The sequence below is a fragment of the Homo sapiens genome, chromosome 16 (assembly GCF_000001405.40).
Source record: "Homo sapiens chromosome 16, GRCh38.p14 Primary Assembly".
Lineage (NCBI taxonomy): Eukaryota > Metazoa > Chordata > Mammalia > Primates > Hominidae > Homo > Homo sapiens.
In genome coordinates, this window is record NC_000016.10 from 73,797,690 (window position 1) to 73,814,803 (window position 17,114).

The following is a 17,114-nucleotide window of genomic DNA, read 5'->3' on the forward strand; positions in this document are numbered from 1 at the left end:
AAGCTTGCACTCTATTTCTGGCTCTGCATGACCTTCAGTTTCTTCGTCTAAAAATTAGAATAATAGGAATTACTTGTGGATAAAACATGCTTATGTATAGGACAAGCCTTCTGAAGACTTTTTTTTTTTTTTTTTTTTTTTTGAGAAGCAATTGCACTCTTGTCACCCAGGCTGGAGTGTAATGGTACAATCTTGGCTCACTCAACCTCTTTCTCCTGGGTTCAAGTGATTCTCCTGCCTCAGCCTCCCTGGGATTACAGGCGCTCGCCACTATATCCAGCCAATTTTTGTGTTTTTTTAGTAGACATGGGGTTTCACCATGTTGCCCAGGCTGGTCTCAAACTCCTGACCTCAAGTGATCCACCTGCCTTGGCCTCTCAAAGTGCTGAGATTATATACAGAAACCACCGCACTCGGTCCTTCTGAGACTTTCAGTAACTATAAGGTAGTAATAACACTGTTGTCACTACTATAATGTTCAGACCAATTGTGCATTCAAGACTGGGCTTTGGTTTGTTGTGTTACTATTTATTGAAGTAATGAGATGGAAAACATGGTCTCTGCTGGCATCAGAATTCCTCTGGGGGTGGGGAGGCGGAATTCTCTTTTTAGGGAAGATATTCTTGGAGAGATGCTTGGGGGAAAGGTGAGACCTTGAGGGCATGGGTGAGAAGTTAACAAGGTGGGGGGTAGCTAAGCTGAAATGCATTTAAAACAGGCCAAAATTTAAGGAGAAGGTGCATGTGAGGAAAAAAGGAAAAGGAGAGAGGAGAGATACCCCCCAAAAAAAGGAAATGGGAACCCAAACCATAAAAGGACCCAGATACTGATCTGTAAATTCTCCCGTCTTCCCAAAGCTTCAGTGCAATCTACACACAGGTGCACACACACAGACACACACACACACACACAGGCACACATCTTGTGGGAATAGCTTGTCTGAAGGAAATTCAGGAAGTTGGCTGAGCTCCTCAGCTCTGTTGTACATCACAGATGACAGAAGGACGTCAAGACCATTTCCAACATCAACCGATTCAGCAGAAGCACAAGTGTGGGGCCAGGGGTAACCACAGGGTGCTTAAGCCCTTTGGAAATGTACAGAAACACCATGAAGGGCATCTCATTCTCATGGGACGTGTTTGGAGGGGGATGAGCTTGTCCGTCCCTCCTAGAGATTTTAGGACACGAAAACCCTGCCTGATGTCTGAATCATTATACAAATTCTTTGGCTTCTTCAAATGTCCTGCTAACATTAAATAATCAGAAACAGACTCCTAGAATACAGCTTTCCTAAGTCCATGCTCCTCAGTGGAAGCTGCTCTAAGCACTAAATGTCATCAAAGCTGCCCCGAACCTGATGTGTCTATTTGGAATTTGCAATGGGGTAAAAAAGCAAGCTCTGTCTCCAGCCCTGTGGCAAATGCTGTATTACCCTGGAGGCACCAATGAGGTGATAGAGGTGAGATGAGAAGGCAACCCTAAGAAACATTCCACCTCCCCGACCCTCAATCTCTTTATCTATAAAATGCCAATGAGTAATAGCCACTTCAAAGAGCTGATACAATGACTAAATATGTAATATCTATAAAAGTGTTTCTGAACATGGGAAGATGCTATATGAGTGTAAATGATGTGTATCTTATTTAAAACTCCATAGGTGAATTCCCAAGTAGGCCCATATTACGACAGTGGATGACATCAGGCATTTAGGATGAGGCTACAGAGCATCCAGACAGCAGAGTGAATTGAGGCAGGTTTCTTTGGCCTTCCCTTGCAGGCAGCATTCTCATCTGCAAAGATGGAGAAGGGAAGAGAGATGCTTGCTGCACTCAGGGAGCTGGTACCCAGGCTCCTGGTGCACCTGTTGCTCACATCCCCTGGAAACAGCAAAGACTCCACACTGAGGTTCCCATGGGAAGAAAAAAGCCTTCCCCTGCTTCCTCTCAGGAAGAAAGGGATGCAGGAAAGCAACTCTATTTGGGCTCCAGTTCTTCCTTGAAACCTCCTGAGCAGAAGGGGAAATCAGACAGAATCAACCCCAAAGGCGATCTCCTGTCTTTTTGAAATTGCTTCCAGCTAAGCTGTGAAGAATGTGGGAGACAAAAAGCATCTCACTCTCCCATTTAAGAGAATCAAAAGTCCCAATATTGACTTTTGTCTTTCATTACCAAACACGCACATAGGATGCACATAACGTACACGAATAATAACAACAACGACTTAAGGCCAGGTGTAGTGCCCTCATCTGGAATCCCAACACTTTGGGAGGCCGAGGAGGATCTCCCCGAGATCAGCCTAAGCAACATAGCAAGACCCTGTCTCTACAAAAAAGAGTTAATTTGTATATTAAAAATTTTAATATAAAACAATGTTTAATAATTATTTAATAATTGTTTAATAAAACAATGACTTCTATAGAAATCATCTACAAACATGAGGATATTACAACCTCATAAGCCTCAGACATGTATTTATTAAGGACTGCCACCGTGGCGCAAGACTGCTTTTTGTTGGCCCATAAATTACTATTGTAATTTTTTTTTTTTTAGATGGAGTCTCACTCTGTCACCCAGGCTGGAGCACAGTGACGCAATTTCAGCTCATTGAAACTTCCACCTCCCAGGTTCAAGCAATTCTCCCGTCTCAGCCTTTCGAGTAGCTGGGACTACAGATGCACACCACCCGCCTGGCTAATTTTTGTATTTTTAGTAGAGACGGGGTTTCACCATATTGGTCAGGCTGGTCTCGAACTCCTGACCTCAGGTGATCCATCTGCTTTGGCCTCCCAAAGAGCTGCGATTACAGGCATGAGCCACCGTGCTGGGCCTACTATTGTTATTTATGTTGTGCTTTTTCTTCTTCTTCCTCCTCCTCCTCCTCTTCCTCTTTCCCCCTGTTCTGAAGCTTGTCCATAAATTCTACTCTTGCCAGTTAAAGTTAAAATAATGAAACATCAGGGCTCCTCCAAGACCACAGCCCCTGGGGCTTTCTCAATTGGTTTCTGAGTCTGACAGCACTGTGGTCGTGTCATCCTTTTGAGCTGCCCAACTCCATCTGCCCCTGGGCACCTGACCCGGAGTCAGCCAGCATCCTCTGGGCTGAAGTTCAGACTCCGTCTACCCCCAAAAGAAAAACAGCACCCATCCTTCTGTGTGAGAGCAGGCCACGGGGAAGGGACACTCTGCTTTTTGATGATGATTTCTGACACACTGACTCTGTAAAAGGCCCATCAGCTCATGTGTCTCCGTTCTTCGGCCACTTGCCTGCCCTGGTAGTTATAAACGTGAGGCTCCTCCCTTTAGAGTGCAATAACTATAACCTCCCCGTAATGAGCAAAACCAACAGCATTGACACTGCCTGGAAATGAATGCTACCACTTAGATTCTAATAAAAGAGAAGTTGGAACAAGCTGTACCAGGTGCCTTCTATTTGTACTTATATTCAATTATATAGCATATGTTTTTAGTGGAATTGTTAAAAAGGGATTTGTTTATTTTCATCGGCTGCCTTTTTTATCCCCACTGGTAAAACAAAACCTTAGTTACTGACTCAGGCCCCTATCTCTGGTGCCTGAGCAATTCAAACCAGTTCAATACAATTCTACAAATATTTATTGAGCCCCTAACACAGGGAATGACCAATACATATTTTCTGAACGAATAAATGAAACAATATAATCCTCCTTAGGTAGGAGGTGGGTTAAAGGGTTACACATGAAGGCGGTGTTCAATCCTTTCCTCTGATAGCTACTGGTCCTCCAAAAAAATTGGTTTGCAACTAATTCTGCCAGCCAGGAGACAGCATAAACCAGGAAAGAATGGACTAGATCAAAAAATCAGGGCATGTGAATTTGAGTTTCGACACTGCTGCTAATTACTACATTAATTTTAGGCATATCACTTCATTTCCCTGTGTTTCCATTTCTGCAACCACTACAAAACAAGTGCAGAAGTCCAGACCCTCTTCTTCCTCTAAAGCGTGGCTCTGAATTACCTTTACAAATTCCAGAAGTGGTCAGCATCCCACTGATATGGTGATACATGTGCTGATGGGTCTACTTGACCCTGTTTTTATATGCGAGTGTGGTCATTGCTGTGTCTACAGTTGTCCCGATTCCACAAAGACTCTTAGTGTGCAACAACATGCTCTGCAACTTGGGCGTGTTCATTTTACTTTCTCTGCCTCAGTTGTCTTGCCTGAGTTCCTTGCAGCTCTCACATTCTGGCTTTCTCTAATAGCTTAGTCAAAAGAAGGGCAGGGAGATGTGTGCAAATTTGGATCTCTCCTCGCCGTTAGAGGAACAGCCCACCTGAAAGCATGCATCCTGAAGTCATCCTTGTTTATGAAGGACAGTGTGTCAGTCCTGTCAAAGGTAACAAATGCATCAGTGACCGCAGTGATGTACCAAAGTCCTTAAAGCCCCGGGCTGTGGAAACTGTGCCTTAACAATATGTTAGATGCAAAATGTGTGACTTTTTTTTTTAAATAAGTTGATTCTTCATAAAACCCCACTCCCAGGATGATAGTATCAAATTGTCAGAGATATTAGGCAATTCTGATGACCTCTTCAGGAAGGAGGGACCAAGAGGTGACAAAGCGAAGGCCATCAAAAATGTGACTCCACAGGGAAGGGAGGGGCCAGTGAGCCCCATGCCAAACTCTAGATAATTTGCTATGGGTGTTTCCCAGTGTAAGCAATGGCTTGAGATTTTAGGAAATGCTAATTTATCTTTTGATGACCATGACTTTCAAAAGTCTCATTTTGTGGTTGAAAGAATCCCCAGTATTTTCTAGCAGAAGTATCCCAGACACTGATGATAGGACACAAGGTGTTTGGCTGGCAGGTGAGCCTACACTAAACTCAGGGAAAAGAATGAGAAAGGACAGACTAATACAGGTCGCAGCTCTGCCTGGGGTAAGTGACAGTACTAGACTTGAATGTCACACTGTAGGCACAAAGTACTAGAAATGGACACTGCTCTGCCCTTTTTTGATGGACACCAGAACTAAAGGTTGAAGAGGGATGTTTTCTAAACAAGAACAAAATAACAATAGACATTATTACAATAAGCAGGTATATATTATATTTTATATTCTTAGAGTAAATTATCAACAAAGCATTATGATTTCTTTTTGTTTTTGTTTTTTAATAGAGCCTCACTCTGTTGCCCAGGCTAGAGTGCAATGGCACAATCTCGACTCACTGCAACCTCCACTTCCCAGGTTCAAGCAATTCTCCTGCCTCAGCCTCCTGAGGAGCTGGGATCACAGGCACACGCCACCACACCCAGCTAATTTTTGCTTTTTAGTAGAGATGGCCAGGCTGGTCTTGAACTCCTGACCTCAGGAGATTTGCCCGCCTCAGCCTCCCAAAGTGCTGGGATTACAGGCATGAGCCACCGTACCAGGACAGCATTATTATTTCTAATATGCGAAGCTCCTATTAACCAATAAGAAAGAAGACAACTCAAAAGAAAACAGGCAAAGATACGAGTAGAAATTTATAGAACAGGAAATGCAAATAGTCAAGAAATGTACAAAAGATACCCAACTCCAGAGACAGTCCCGCAAATGTCATTAAAGCAACAATAACACATCAGTGTTGAGGTATGTTCAGTTGAGGTATGTTCAGTGTTGAGGTATATCAGTTGTCATTGTTGACAAAACTTAAGACCTTGATAATAGCTAGCGCTGGGGATAACGTTAAGAATGAAAATACTCCAATATATTACTGAAGGAAATATAAATTGCTACAAGATTTAAGGAAAATAATCAAGCTGTGCTTATTAAAGACTAAAAATTCACTTACCCTTTGACATGATAATCACATTTATGAGAGCCTATTGAACAGAACAGAAGTAAAAGCACAAATATATAATAAAATATGTAGAAGGATGTTTATTTAATTCTTGAATGTTATGTTTGAAAAATCTTGATTCACCTAAAGCCTTATGAATAGGCAAATGGGTGTCTATATTTTGTTAGACTTATTCTGCAATTACAATTACTAAAAAGAACAAGACTTGAAAAGATGTTCTTTATACGTTAGTAAGTTTTTAAAAGCACATTTCAGAGTAATATGTGTAATGTCAGTTTTATAAAGTAAAATAAAAGGAACAATTTTTCTGCGTGTGTGTCTGTGAACAAAGATAATGATACAGAAAGATATCCATCAAATTACTAGAAACAGCCAGGCACAGTGGCTCATGTCTGTAACCCCAGCACTCTGGGAAGCCAAGGCATGCAGATGGCTTGAGCCCAGGATGAGACCAGTCTGGGCAACATGGCAAAACCGCGTCTCTACAAAAAATACAAAAATTAACTGGGAGTGGTGGCACACATCTGTAGCCCTAGCAACTCGGGAGGATGAGGTGGGAAGATCACTTTAGCCTGGGAGGCTGAGGCTCCAGTGAGCCGAGATTGTGCTACTGCACTCCAGCTTGGATGCCAGAGCAGACCCTGTCTCAAAAAACAAAAACAAAAACAAAACTAGAAACATAAATTACAAGGGGTAGGAGGAACGAGGAGGAAGAGTGGAACATTAGTTACCTTCTATACACATAATTATATATTATTTCGCTTGCTACAATTAAGATGTGATAAAACAGTAACAACACAATTAAAATACTGAAAAACAAAAACTACACCAAGTTCTAACAGCTTTACCAATAAGATCCCTACAGATGGCAAGCCACCCAAGGATGGCCACGCAGTCCAAAATGGCACCTCTCACATAGGTGATACCCAGTATATGTTTGTTGAATGGATGAGCATTAAGCAGTCAGAAACATTGATTAAATGCAGTTGAAAGAGGTGTAATTTCAGGGGCCAAGGAAAGCTTTATCCGCACCTTTCTTTCCCTTCTCTATCCCTTAAAAAACAACAGCTTAGTATCTGGAAACTCATTTGATATAATTTACAACCCTCAGAGGCCCATTAGAAGCTTCTAGCATCATGGCAAATATGAGTCTTTTATTGAAAAATATGTGGATCTTGCACAATGCCTGGACCCACCTGGGAGAAATGCAGCTGCTTCTATTTCATTTGGGGTGAAAACTGTGAATACTTCACCTTTCTGACATATTCTAACATCACTGCAAAGTCATTATAGTTTTCTCTAAACTCTATGAAATCTTCTATGGCCAAAACACTATACACATACTACATACACACTTAACACACCACACACACACACCCACACCAAAGAGGGAGGGAGGGAGGGAGGGGAGGGAGAGGGAGGGAGGGAGAGAGGGAGAGGAAGGGAGGGAGAGAGGGAGGGAGGGAGAGAGAGAGAGACTCATATATTTATTATATGACTATTTATGGCTTCAATTCTTAAGCGAGTATACTTAGTGTTCATGTATTTCCTGCTGCACCTCTGACACAATCAGAGAAAATACCCTAACTATAGCTCTGTCATTCCACCTGCAAAACTTTTTCATAAGTACCTCTTTATATATTCGTTATATTTTTATTTTTATTATATTTTATTTTTTGAGATGGAGTCTCATTCTTGTTGCCCAGGCTGGAGTGCAATGGCACAACCTCTGCTCACTGTAACCTCCGCCTCCCAGGTTCAAGCGATTCTCCTGCCTCAGCCTCCTAAGTAGCTGGGATTACAGGCACCTGCCACTACGCCTGGCTAATTTTTGTATTTTTAGTAGAGATGGGGTTTCACCATGTTGGCCAGGATGGTCTTGAACTCCTGACTGCAGGTGATCCGCCTGCCTCTGCCTCCCAAAGTGCTGGGATTATAGGTGTGAGCTACCGTGGCTGGCCATTCTGGTATATTTTCACACATCTATCTTTCCATCAAGACTGCCACCTTCTAGAAGGTAAGGACTGTGAAGTTTTCATCTTTGCACATTGTAGATGCTCAGTCACTGTTCATGGAATAGATGAAGGAGTGGATGGGTGGAAATCACTTATTCATTTATTGATGAAACAAACATGTTAAGCACCAATGATGTACAGGGCACTGCCCTAGCAATGAGACATAGCAATGGACAAAACAGTTAAAATCCCTGCCCTTCTAGAGCTTGTATTCTAGTCAGGAGGCCACAAAAAGATGCACGTATAATATAATGCTGGGTGGCATGTGAATAAAAGGATAGCAGAGTAAAGAGACAGAGGGTGATGGGGGTACTTCTTCGGCTCAGGTGGTCATAGAAGGCCTCTCTGAGAAGGTGACTTGCTCAGAAACTTCAGTGAAATGAGGGAACATGTATTATTCCATTCTCAGGCTGCTAATAAAGACAACTGCGACTGGGTAATTTGTAAAGAAAAGAGATTTAATTGACTCACAGTTCCATATGGCTCAGCAAGCCTCAGGAAACTTACAATCATGGCGAAAGGCATCTCTTCACAGGGTGGCAGGAGACAGAATGGGTGACGAGCAAAGGGGGAAGCCCCCTATAAAACCATCAGCTCTTGTAAGAACTCACTATCACAAGGACAGCAGGGCAGAAATTGCCCCAGTGATTCAATTATCTCCATCTGGTCCCGCCCTTGACACGTGGGGATTATTACAATTCAAGGTGAGATTTGGGTGGGGACACAGAGCCAAACCATACCAGAGCACATCTGGAGTAGAAAATTCCAGGCAGAGGCAAGAGCAAGTGCAAAGGCCTAGAGATAGGAACATGACTGGCACAATTGAGGAGCAGCAGGGAAGCCGGTGTGACCACAGCACAGTGAGAGAACAAGAGATCAGAGATGGAGCCGGAGTGAGATGTGCAAGGCTCTGAGGTCACGGCTTTAGCTCCGCTGAATACAGTGTTGGCCTTTGGGGCAATATGGGGAAAGTGGGTCAGTCCTTGTACAGATACACAGTCAGGTGTTCCCAAGAAGGGCAAGCTTAGGGGCAGGGTGGGGATGGGGATTAGTTGTCAGCCAATAACACTGGTTGGTGGGGGGGGTCAAGTAAATCAAATGAGCCCCAATGTGCCATCCCATGCTAAGGTCTCAAGGCCTCCCCACTGACACTTTGTCCTTTGCTTCCTCATTGCTTGCCCTTTTTTAAAATCATCATTTAACAGCCTTTATGCAAAATGTTACACTTTTTAAAAATCGGTGAAGCATGCCACTTTTGGAAAATGAGACCAAGGGGAGCCCTCTCCATCTCCCCAAGCCCTCTCCAGCTTTGGCACTGCCCTGACCCTTTTGGGGGAAGTGGTTATTGGCTGTGAACTAGACGGAATCCATCATCCCATCAGCAGATCTGAGGCTAACTCAAGGGAATGCGAGCGTTCCATCCAATTCCACCAACCACGTGATGAGGTGAGGAGGATGGAGGAAATGTTACTGAGCTTCTGGTCTAGAAGCAGGTGCAACATGAGAAAAACCATAACTAAAAATAGCTGTCATGGAAATGTTTTAGTGGGTACAAAGAAGCACTGTGAATTCAGAGAAAGGGAGTGGCCACATCCAGCTGGAGCACCCGAGAAGAGGCAGCAGGGACCGCTGGCATTTCAGCTGTGGATGCCTCTATTATCATAGAAGTTACCCCAGAAGTTGAGTTGTGTGAATACATCATTTTTCATTACTATACAAGCCTGTTCTGCCCACGTGTGACACAAGGCCATCTGACTACCAGTACCTTTTGACTGATTCTCCCTCCCTTCTTCCCTCCTTTCTTCCTTGCTTTCTTCCTTTTTTTTCAGCCCAAGAGCATTCAAATCCACTGATAGCCAAATTTAGGAAAATGCCAGAGATATGTTTTAGAAATATCTATAACCATCAAGCTAATTGCACCAACATCATCTGTTAAAAGCTGCTAAAAATGATCCATGGTCTTGCTGTGTCTCCCAGGCTGGGGTGCAGTAGCACAATCATAGCTCACTGCAGCCTCCATCTCCTGGGCTCAAGCAATCCTCCTGCCACAGCAGCCCCCAAATAGCTGGGCCTACAGGCACATTCCACCATGCCCCAATTTTTTTTTTTTTTTTTTTTTTTTTTTTTTGGTAGAGGCAGGGCTTCTCCATGTTGCCCAGGCTGGTCTTGAACTCCTGAGCTCAAGCAATCCACCCACATCAGCCTCCCAAAATGTTGGAATTACAGACGTAAGCCACTGCACCCAGCCAAAGTATCAGTTTTCTAAGAAAAGACATCCCACCTACCCACCCATTCACGCGGGACTCTAATGTCTTTTTTTTCCAACATACATTTTGGACGGGCATCGTACCAGGCCCTGTGCTAGGTTACGTGTATCCATTGAATCTTCCTAGAAATCCTCATGAACTTGGTACCATTATTACCACTCTTTTACATTCAAGTATCACTTGCTTCAAATCGCATACCTACAAATGGAAGATTCAGGGTTCAAAACGAGGGTATAATGTCCATGCTAGAGGGCTTACACTCAGAAACCCTAACTCTCAATATTAAACTTTCTATTAAGGGTGGGGCATGGGCAGGAAGATGTGGGCACTGAAGAGAGACCAGTTTCCCTCCTGGGAACACTCCATGATGAAGACTTGGGAAGAAAAAGGGAAGAAAAAGGTTAAAACCATCGATGTAGATCATGAGCACATGCTCATTTTCAAAATAAAACAACTTCTTTGTGAGAATAATTGAGAAATAAATGTTGTAGGGAGGACTGTTGAATTTCATTTTGGTAGAGAAAGTGATAGTAGTTGAAATTCTTGTTTTCTTGCTACTGTGGTAAGTATTGCTATCCATGTTGAATAGTTTCAAATATCAGACAAAAAGAAGAGATTGATGTGTTAGAAAGCCAGCCTGTAAGCTTCTGTGAGTGAGGAGTCCTTCTACTTTTTGTTTCAGGTATACAGAAGATGGTTGGATACATGAATACAAGGTAAGGCAAGAAATAGATACCCAGGCACACTGTCCAGTGTGTGGACAATGGCACGCTAGTCAGCTTTCGATAAGTGTCAGTTGAATGGAAATAAGCTGAATGAATCTGAAGGTGGCATACATAATGGGATGAGCCTGGGTAAGAGATTTAAAAGCTTGAAGCAGACACCCTTGATTATGTGATGTACAACCATTTAAGCATATTAGTTTAGAGGGGAGGGGAAAGAGGCAGAGGCTTGAGTTTCCAGAGCTAGAGGAACAACTTAGAAGAGAAAGAATTAAGAGTGGAAAGGGAGCATATAGTATGCAGAGTATATAACCTACAAGGACAGTAACCTAGCATTCTGAGCAGCCTTAGGATAGAAACTGCTGGAAAAAGGAAGCCAGTCCTGAGGACATCCAGAAGTTTAAGAGTCACAGCAAACTACTATGTAGAGAAGCAGCATTGATAACAGTTGATTACTGACCCAGTGCCGGATAGATTTTATCCTGTCATCTGTGTTGCTTGGCTTGGGTTTGTTTCTGTAATGCATTTGTAATAAGCAATAAGTGCAATGTTTCCTAAAAGCAGGGGTTGATGGGAAGATGGGAGGAGGTACCAAACGGCAGATTCCTGCTCTCCTTTGCTGTCGGAATGGAGGTGACCCTGCCACAATCCCAAGGTGCAGGTAGAGTTCCTGGGAGGAATTAAAAGCCCGCTTTAAGACTATTCCTGAGGCTGAAACCTCTTTTCAGTGACAAGCATCATCAAAGCTGTAATGCAAGTCAGCTGCACCGGGCAAATGCAGCATACGGTGACACTGTAACCTCCCTGAAACGGCAATGAAAATGCACCTGACCCAGGGAGGTGCCACTGTGTGGAAGCCTGCCCCTTCCTCGGTAGGGAAAAGATGGCCTGACCTGCCGCTTCATTCAAAGGAGTCCACGCCTCCTCACCTAGGTTAGAGCAGGTGGCATCATCCACACAGGTGCTCCAAAACCCAAGCTGGAGCTGTCACGGATTTATGAGCTCCTGTCTGTTTCACGGTGCTGCTTCTCACCGAGCCTACTTCATCATTTAAATTATTAACAGTGAAAGTGCATTGACTGGGGGAGTCGGTGGAATACAGGATCCTGAAGAGGGTGGAAGGGTCTCAATACAGTTTCATCTCTCTCATGCAACTCACCCTCATCAGTCTCCAGATCTGGGCTGCTGAACATGCATGGAATAAACGGAGGGGATTTTTAAGGCAGTTTCTGTTTAGGCTCTACTCATTAAAAACAAAACAAAAAACAAAACAAAACAAAAAACTCCATTACCTAACCTAGTCTTGCCTATAGTTTTCAGAAATCATGAGACCATCAAAAGTCTACTTTGCCTGGTAAAAATGTCATCCCCACCCAGCCTTCCCTGTGGCCACTTACCTATGCTGACATTGTATTGCTTTGCTTGGTAGCAGTTCAAGGGAATAAAAGCATTTTCTTGCACTCCACACATTGCGGTGTCTAACTCCTCAGCCTTTGCACCAAAGAGGCAAATCTAGAATGTGAACGTTGGTCACATGTATTTTGGCCTTAGGATGAAGTCCTGCCTGTTAGAGTCTATATATGAGGCTTAATATTCAGTATTTATTTTCCAGGTTGCCCTAAATCTGGGCACAGCCACCCCGCCACCTCCACTTCCACTGACCCTGTTAACCCTGAAAAGAAAGTTAAATCCTATAACTCAAGCCTAGCCCTGCAAAACTGAAGCTGTAGCTCTCAATCAAATAGTCTCTTGCCATTTTTAATAAATTGGATTGTGGATTAATCTTGGGAGTATTTGGGCCCCTGATGAAACATTCTCTTTCAGGGAAGATCAAAATTTTCCTATTTGCATAGAAAGTTTACAAATAAAGGTTCTTTAAAAAGATAAGTCTTTAATTATTTGGTTATTAACCTAGATAACCTCTAAGGGTTCTTAAATCTAATGATTTATTTTATTTGAGTTGCATTTGTCAAGTTCTCACCATCTTGCCAAATTACTTCAGACAATAGCAATATCTAATGTTTTTACAGCACTTTATAGAGAGTTTGTAAAGCGCTTTCACACATTCATTATCTTATTTGAGCCTTAATGCAACCCTATAAATTATGGCATTTATTATTCCTGTTGCAAAAGAAGAAATAGAAGCTCAAAGAGATTAAAAGACTTAGCCAAGGTCATTCAACAACAAAAAAAAATGGAAGAGCTTGAACTATCAGGGAAATCTTAGAACTGAATTCAAGTCTAGACTCTGTTACTAAATAGCTGTATGGTCTTGAGTACATCACTCACCATTCTGAGCTTGTCTATCTGTAAAAGGGGTTAGTTAACTAGCTGATCATCTCCATGGTCTTCCAAAGCCCTAAAATTCTACTAATTTTATAATATACCTATAATAAATAAATAAAAATTTACTATATTGCTATAATACTAAATTCTTCCTTTCTCTGGGCCTCTTGCCTCCAAGCAAAAAGAAAAGGATTATATGAACTACACAGGAGGCCTGAGATTAAAAACAATCAGTGTGGCACACTAAGGAACTTTAAAAATACAAAGATATCAAATAGAAAAAAAAAATTTCATGATCCAAAGCTCAGTGCATCGTCACATTATGGTGTGACAGTACCAGAACTCCTACCCTCTACTAACATTTTGTTAATATTTTTGTATCTCTGTTGTGATGAAAACCAAGCTAGAATTTGCTTTAGGCTTAGTTTTTGAGACCACAGCTAGCTCTTACCTGAATTAGAGCCCTCCATTTCAGACATCTGTATCTACCTTCGGCAAAGCCCCACTAGTCCTTCTTTCTGGGTGATCTAAAACTCTAAAAGTGATAGGTACAGCCTCAATTTCCCAGGGCACATCAGTGCCATAGTGAATGGCTAATACCCATGAAAGCAAAGTTGATCTTCAATCCCTTCAGTCTCTTCTTTTTTTTTTTTTTTTTTTTTTTGAGACGGAGTCTTGCTCTGTCATCTAGGCGGGAGTGGCAGTGGCGTGATCTCAGCTCACTGTAACCTCTGCCTCCCAGGTTCAAGCGATTCTCCTGCCTCAGCCTCTGGAGTAGCTGGGACTACAGGCACGCGCGCCAACACGCCTGGCTAATTTTTGTATTTTTAATAGAGATGGGGTTTCACCATGTTGGCCAGGCTGGTCTCGAACTCCTCACCTCATGATCTGCCCACCTCTGCCTCCCAAAGTGCTGGGATTATAGGCATGAGCCACCGCGCCCGGGCCCCTTCCCTTTCTAATAGGCAGGAGACTACCTATCTCATAATGACTTTGTTCTCTCTGTTGTGATGCTATCTTTTGGTGGTTCAGTGGTTTGCCACCACTTGGGAGACATGTCCAATTCCCAGGCCTCACTTGGCTCTGACCATCTCAGAACACAACTCTAGTTGAATGTTTCTGTGTGTGGAGACTGTGCTGAACTTTTTATCTTCATTTTATCTTTGCAACAATTCTCTTACTATCACCATTTGTGGATAAGAAAACAGAGGCACGAAGAGATTAAATAACCTACCCCCAAGGTTATATGGCTAATGAATAGTAGGGTCTAGAATTCAAACCCAAACAGGCTGATTCTGAGGCTTATGGTGGTCTTTACCACCACACTGTTGCCCACTCATTCACCAACCAGGGCAGTGGAGACATGTCCAAAGGGCTGTATTCTCTAGGTACGAATTTCCCATCACTGAAAGGATGCAAGCATGGGCTGGGCATCCATCCAGCTTCAAACACTAAGCTCCCATGGCTGAAAATCTGTCCTGGAAACACTCTCACTTCCGCTTTGGGTGTTCTCTCTGCTCCTGATATCCTTCCTCTGTCCTCCTGGCATAATAAATTTCTTTTCTTTCCTTTCTCCCATTACACTGCTTGTCCTCCTATATTTACCACAATGCACTATAGAAATGGTGTTCTTTCTCCTCCAGAAAGTCTTGCAAACTGACTGCATTCGTTGACCCCTGATCATAGACACGTTTGTTTGGGCAGTTATTATGTCATAATAAAGAGATGGGGCAGGGACCTCCAGTCTGCCACAGTCCCCACCACTCCCTATTGCCTCATCCCTACCAGGTCACAGACTGATACTAGCTGCCTGCCCCTCTGATGGAATTGAAGGTTTAACCCTGTAAGAGCTAGCCCTTTTCTATTATAGACTATACCTTATTCATCTCAGTATCCTCCTAGCATAGCAGCCTAGCATACTACCAGAAAAACAGCTCAATAGATGTTTGATAAATGAGTGAGTGAAAGAACAGATGAACACACGAAGACTGCCAGGCAGCTTAAAGATCCACTGGGCACAAAGGTGACAGATAAGGCAGCAACTCTTTGGGCAAACTCCCAATATGGGAGCAGCCTTAATCTCCTTATGCCTGTTAACTCAATTTATAAAGCAGATATGATAATACTTACCTACTTCTCACTAGGGCACCACATGAAATAATTAGCTAATATCTACAAGGCATTATCTGCACTAAGTGGTAGATATTACTCCTACTGTGAAAACTCAGCTTTGGGACTCCAATGAATCTACTTTAAATAGAGCTGGAAAACTAAACAAGATTTATCCAGTCTTTCCTTCTGGTTCTGCAAATATTCAGCTACCACACTAGGAATAAGTAACACCTTTCTCAGAGCTAACTGATCCCTCGCTGTCTCTCTGTCTTCTCTCTCCTCATCCCCTGCCAACTGTATCATCCCTACCTCTTTCTCTTTCTCTCTCTCTCTCTCTCTCTCTCTCTGTTAAGTTAATGTTTGGACAAGAGACAAAATGCACTAATAAGCGAGCCAGGATTCTCAACTGGGTGAATTGCAATGTCTGAACAGCATACTAGTTCCCCATAGAGGACAGCGGCCAGGACTGGGGGCCTCTCTCAACTCTGGGCATGTTTTGTCTCTTGATCAGGGAATTGGCTGCATAGGTGAAAATCAGTTGAACTGCATACTTATCATTTGTGTACTTTTCTGTAAGTCCATTTCAGTAAAACAAAAAAAAAGGAAAAAAAATGTGACTCATGCAGTCTGAAAAACAGTGGGCATTGCATACCCCTTCCTTCATTAAACCTAGAGACATTTTCCCACTCGTAGTAGGATTTTACCAAACACAAGCTCTCTGAAGCAGACACTCCTCTGCAGTCCATCCCACAGCACTCATCAGACAGCCGTAGCTCTTGCACCAAGCCGGAAATCTGCCTTGCTAGCCGTGCCAATGGTCATTAGCATAACCTCCCTCCTCTTCCTGTACCTCAGACCCAGTAGGTCCTCCGATACTCAAGAACTCCTTCCCGGAGCGGAGACACAGATCATGGCTATCAGATGGGTCCCTTGGCAGCTCAGCTGCAGGCAAGATTTGTTCCCTTGTTTGTCTGGAGCTTTGGTTTTAATTTGTAATATTTGCTTAATCTACTATTAGTTGGGCTGAATTTAATTTAACTCATTGTAGCAATTCATTTCTTTCAATCTCCTGTTATTGGGTATCACTCTTAAGTTGTAAGTGAGTTTGCCTTCCCTAATCATCATGTAGGAATCTGTTGGCCCAGTTATTTCTCTTTGCAAGTAATATCTGCAATTAAAAATGTATATAATTGCAGAGAGAGCAGTGTGATAAGAATGCTGAATGGGATCTGTACCTTCCATTTTTTTCATTAGCTTTTATATTTTAAGTGAAATCAGGTAAAGTGCTGGTAAGGAGTTACTTCCTCTCCCACCCCCACCATTGTCAACTGCCAAATGGAGAGACAATAAATGGTAGCCAGACAGATTCTCTTTCTTACTGTAAAGCCATAAAGCCAAAACCTAGCACATAGCAATGAGTTTTAAAAATTAAAACAAAACAAGACCTCTAGCTTGGCTTATAGCCAATCACAGCTTTCAGATGGTGGAGATCATTCTAAATTTAGAGGAAAAAGTAATCGTGGGTCTTTCTTCAAAATTTAATTTTAAAACTTGCTCCACAGGTAGACTTTTGGTAAAGATGCATTTACATACAAATTTTAAAATACGTGATAGTTGTTTAAGAAAGCTTAACACAATCTTACTTACATAGTTCACAACTTTTTTTTTTTTTTTTGAGATGGAGTTTCGCTCTTGTTGCCCAGGCTGGAGTGCAGTGGCGCAATCTCAGCTCACTTCAGCCTCTGCCTCCTGGGTTCAAGTGATTCTCCTGCCTCAGCCTCCTGAGTAGCTGGGATTATGGGCACCCACCACCATGCCTGGCTAATTTTTATATTTTTAGTAAAGACAGGGTTTCACCATGTTGGCCAGGCTGGTCTCAAACTCCTGACCTTAG

General features: G+C 42.7%; 1 protein-coding gene across 1 annotated transcript in view; it reads right to left on the minus strand.

Annotated features, from left to right (window-relative positions):
- The window catches only part of ZFHX3 (zinc finger homeobox 3), a 1,109,046-nt gene that overhangs the window by 1,014,805 nt on the left and 77,127 nt on the right, over nt 1–17,114 (minus strand). The gene's annotated exons all lie outside the window — the stretch shown is intronic.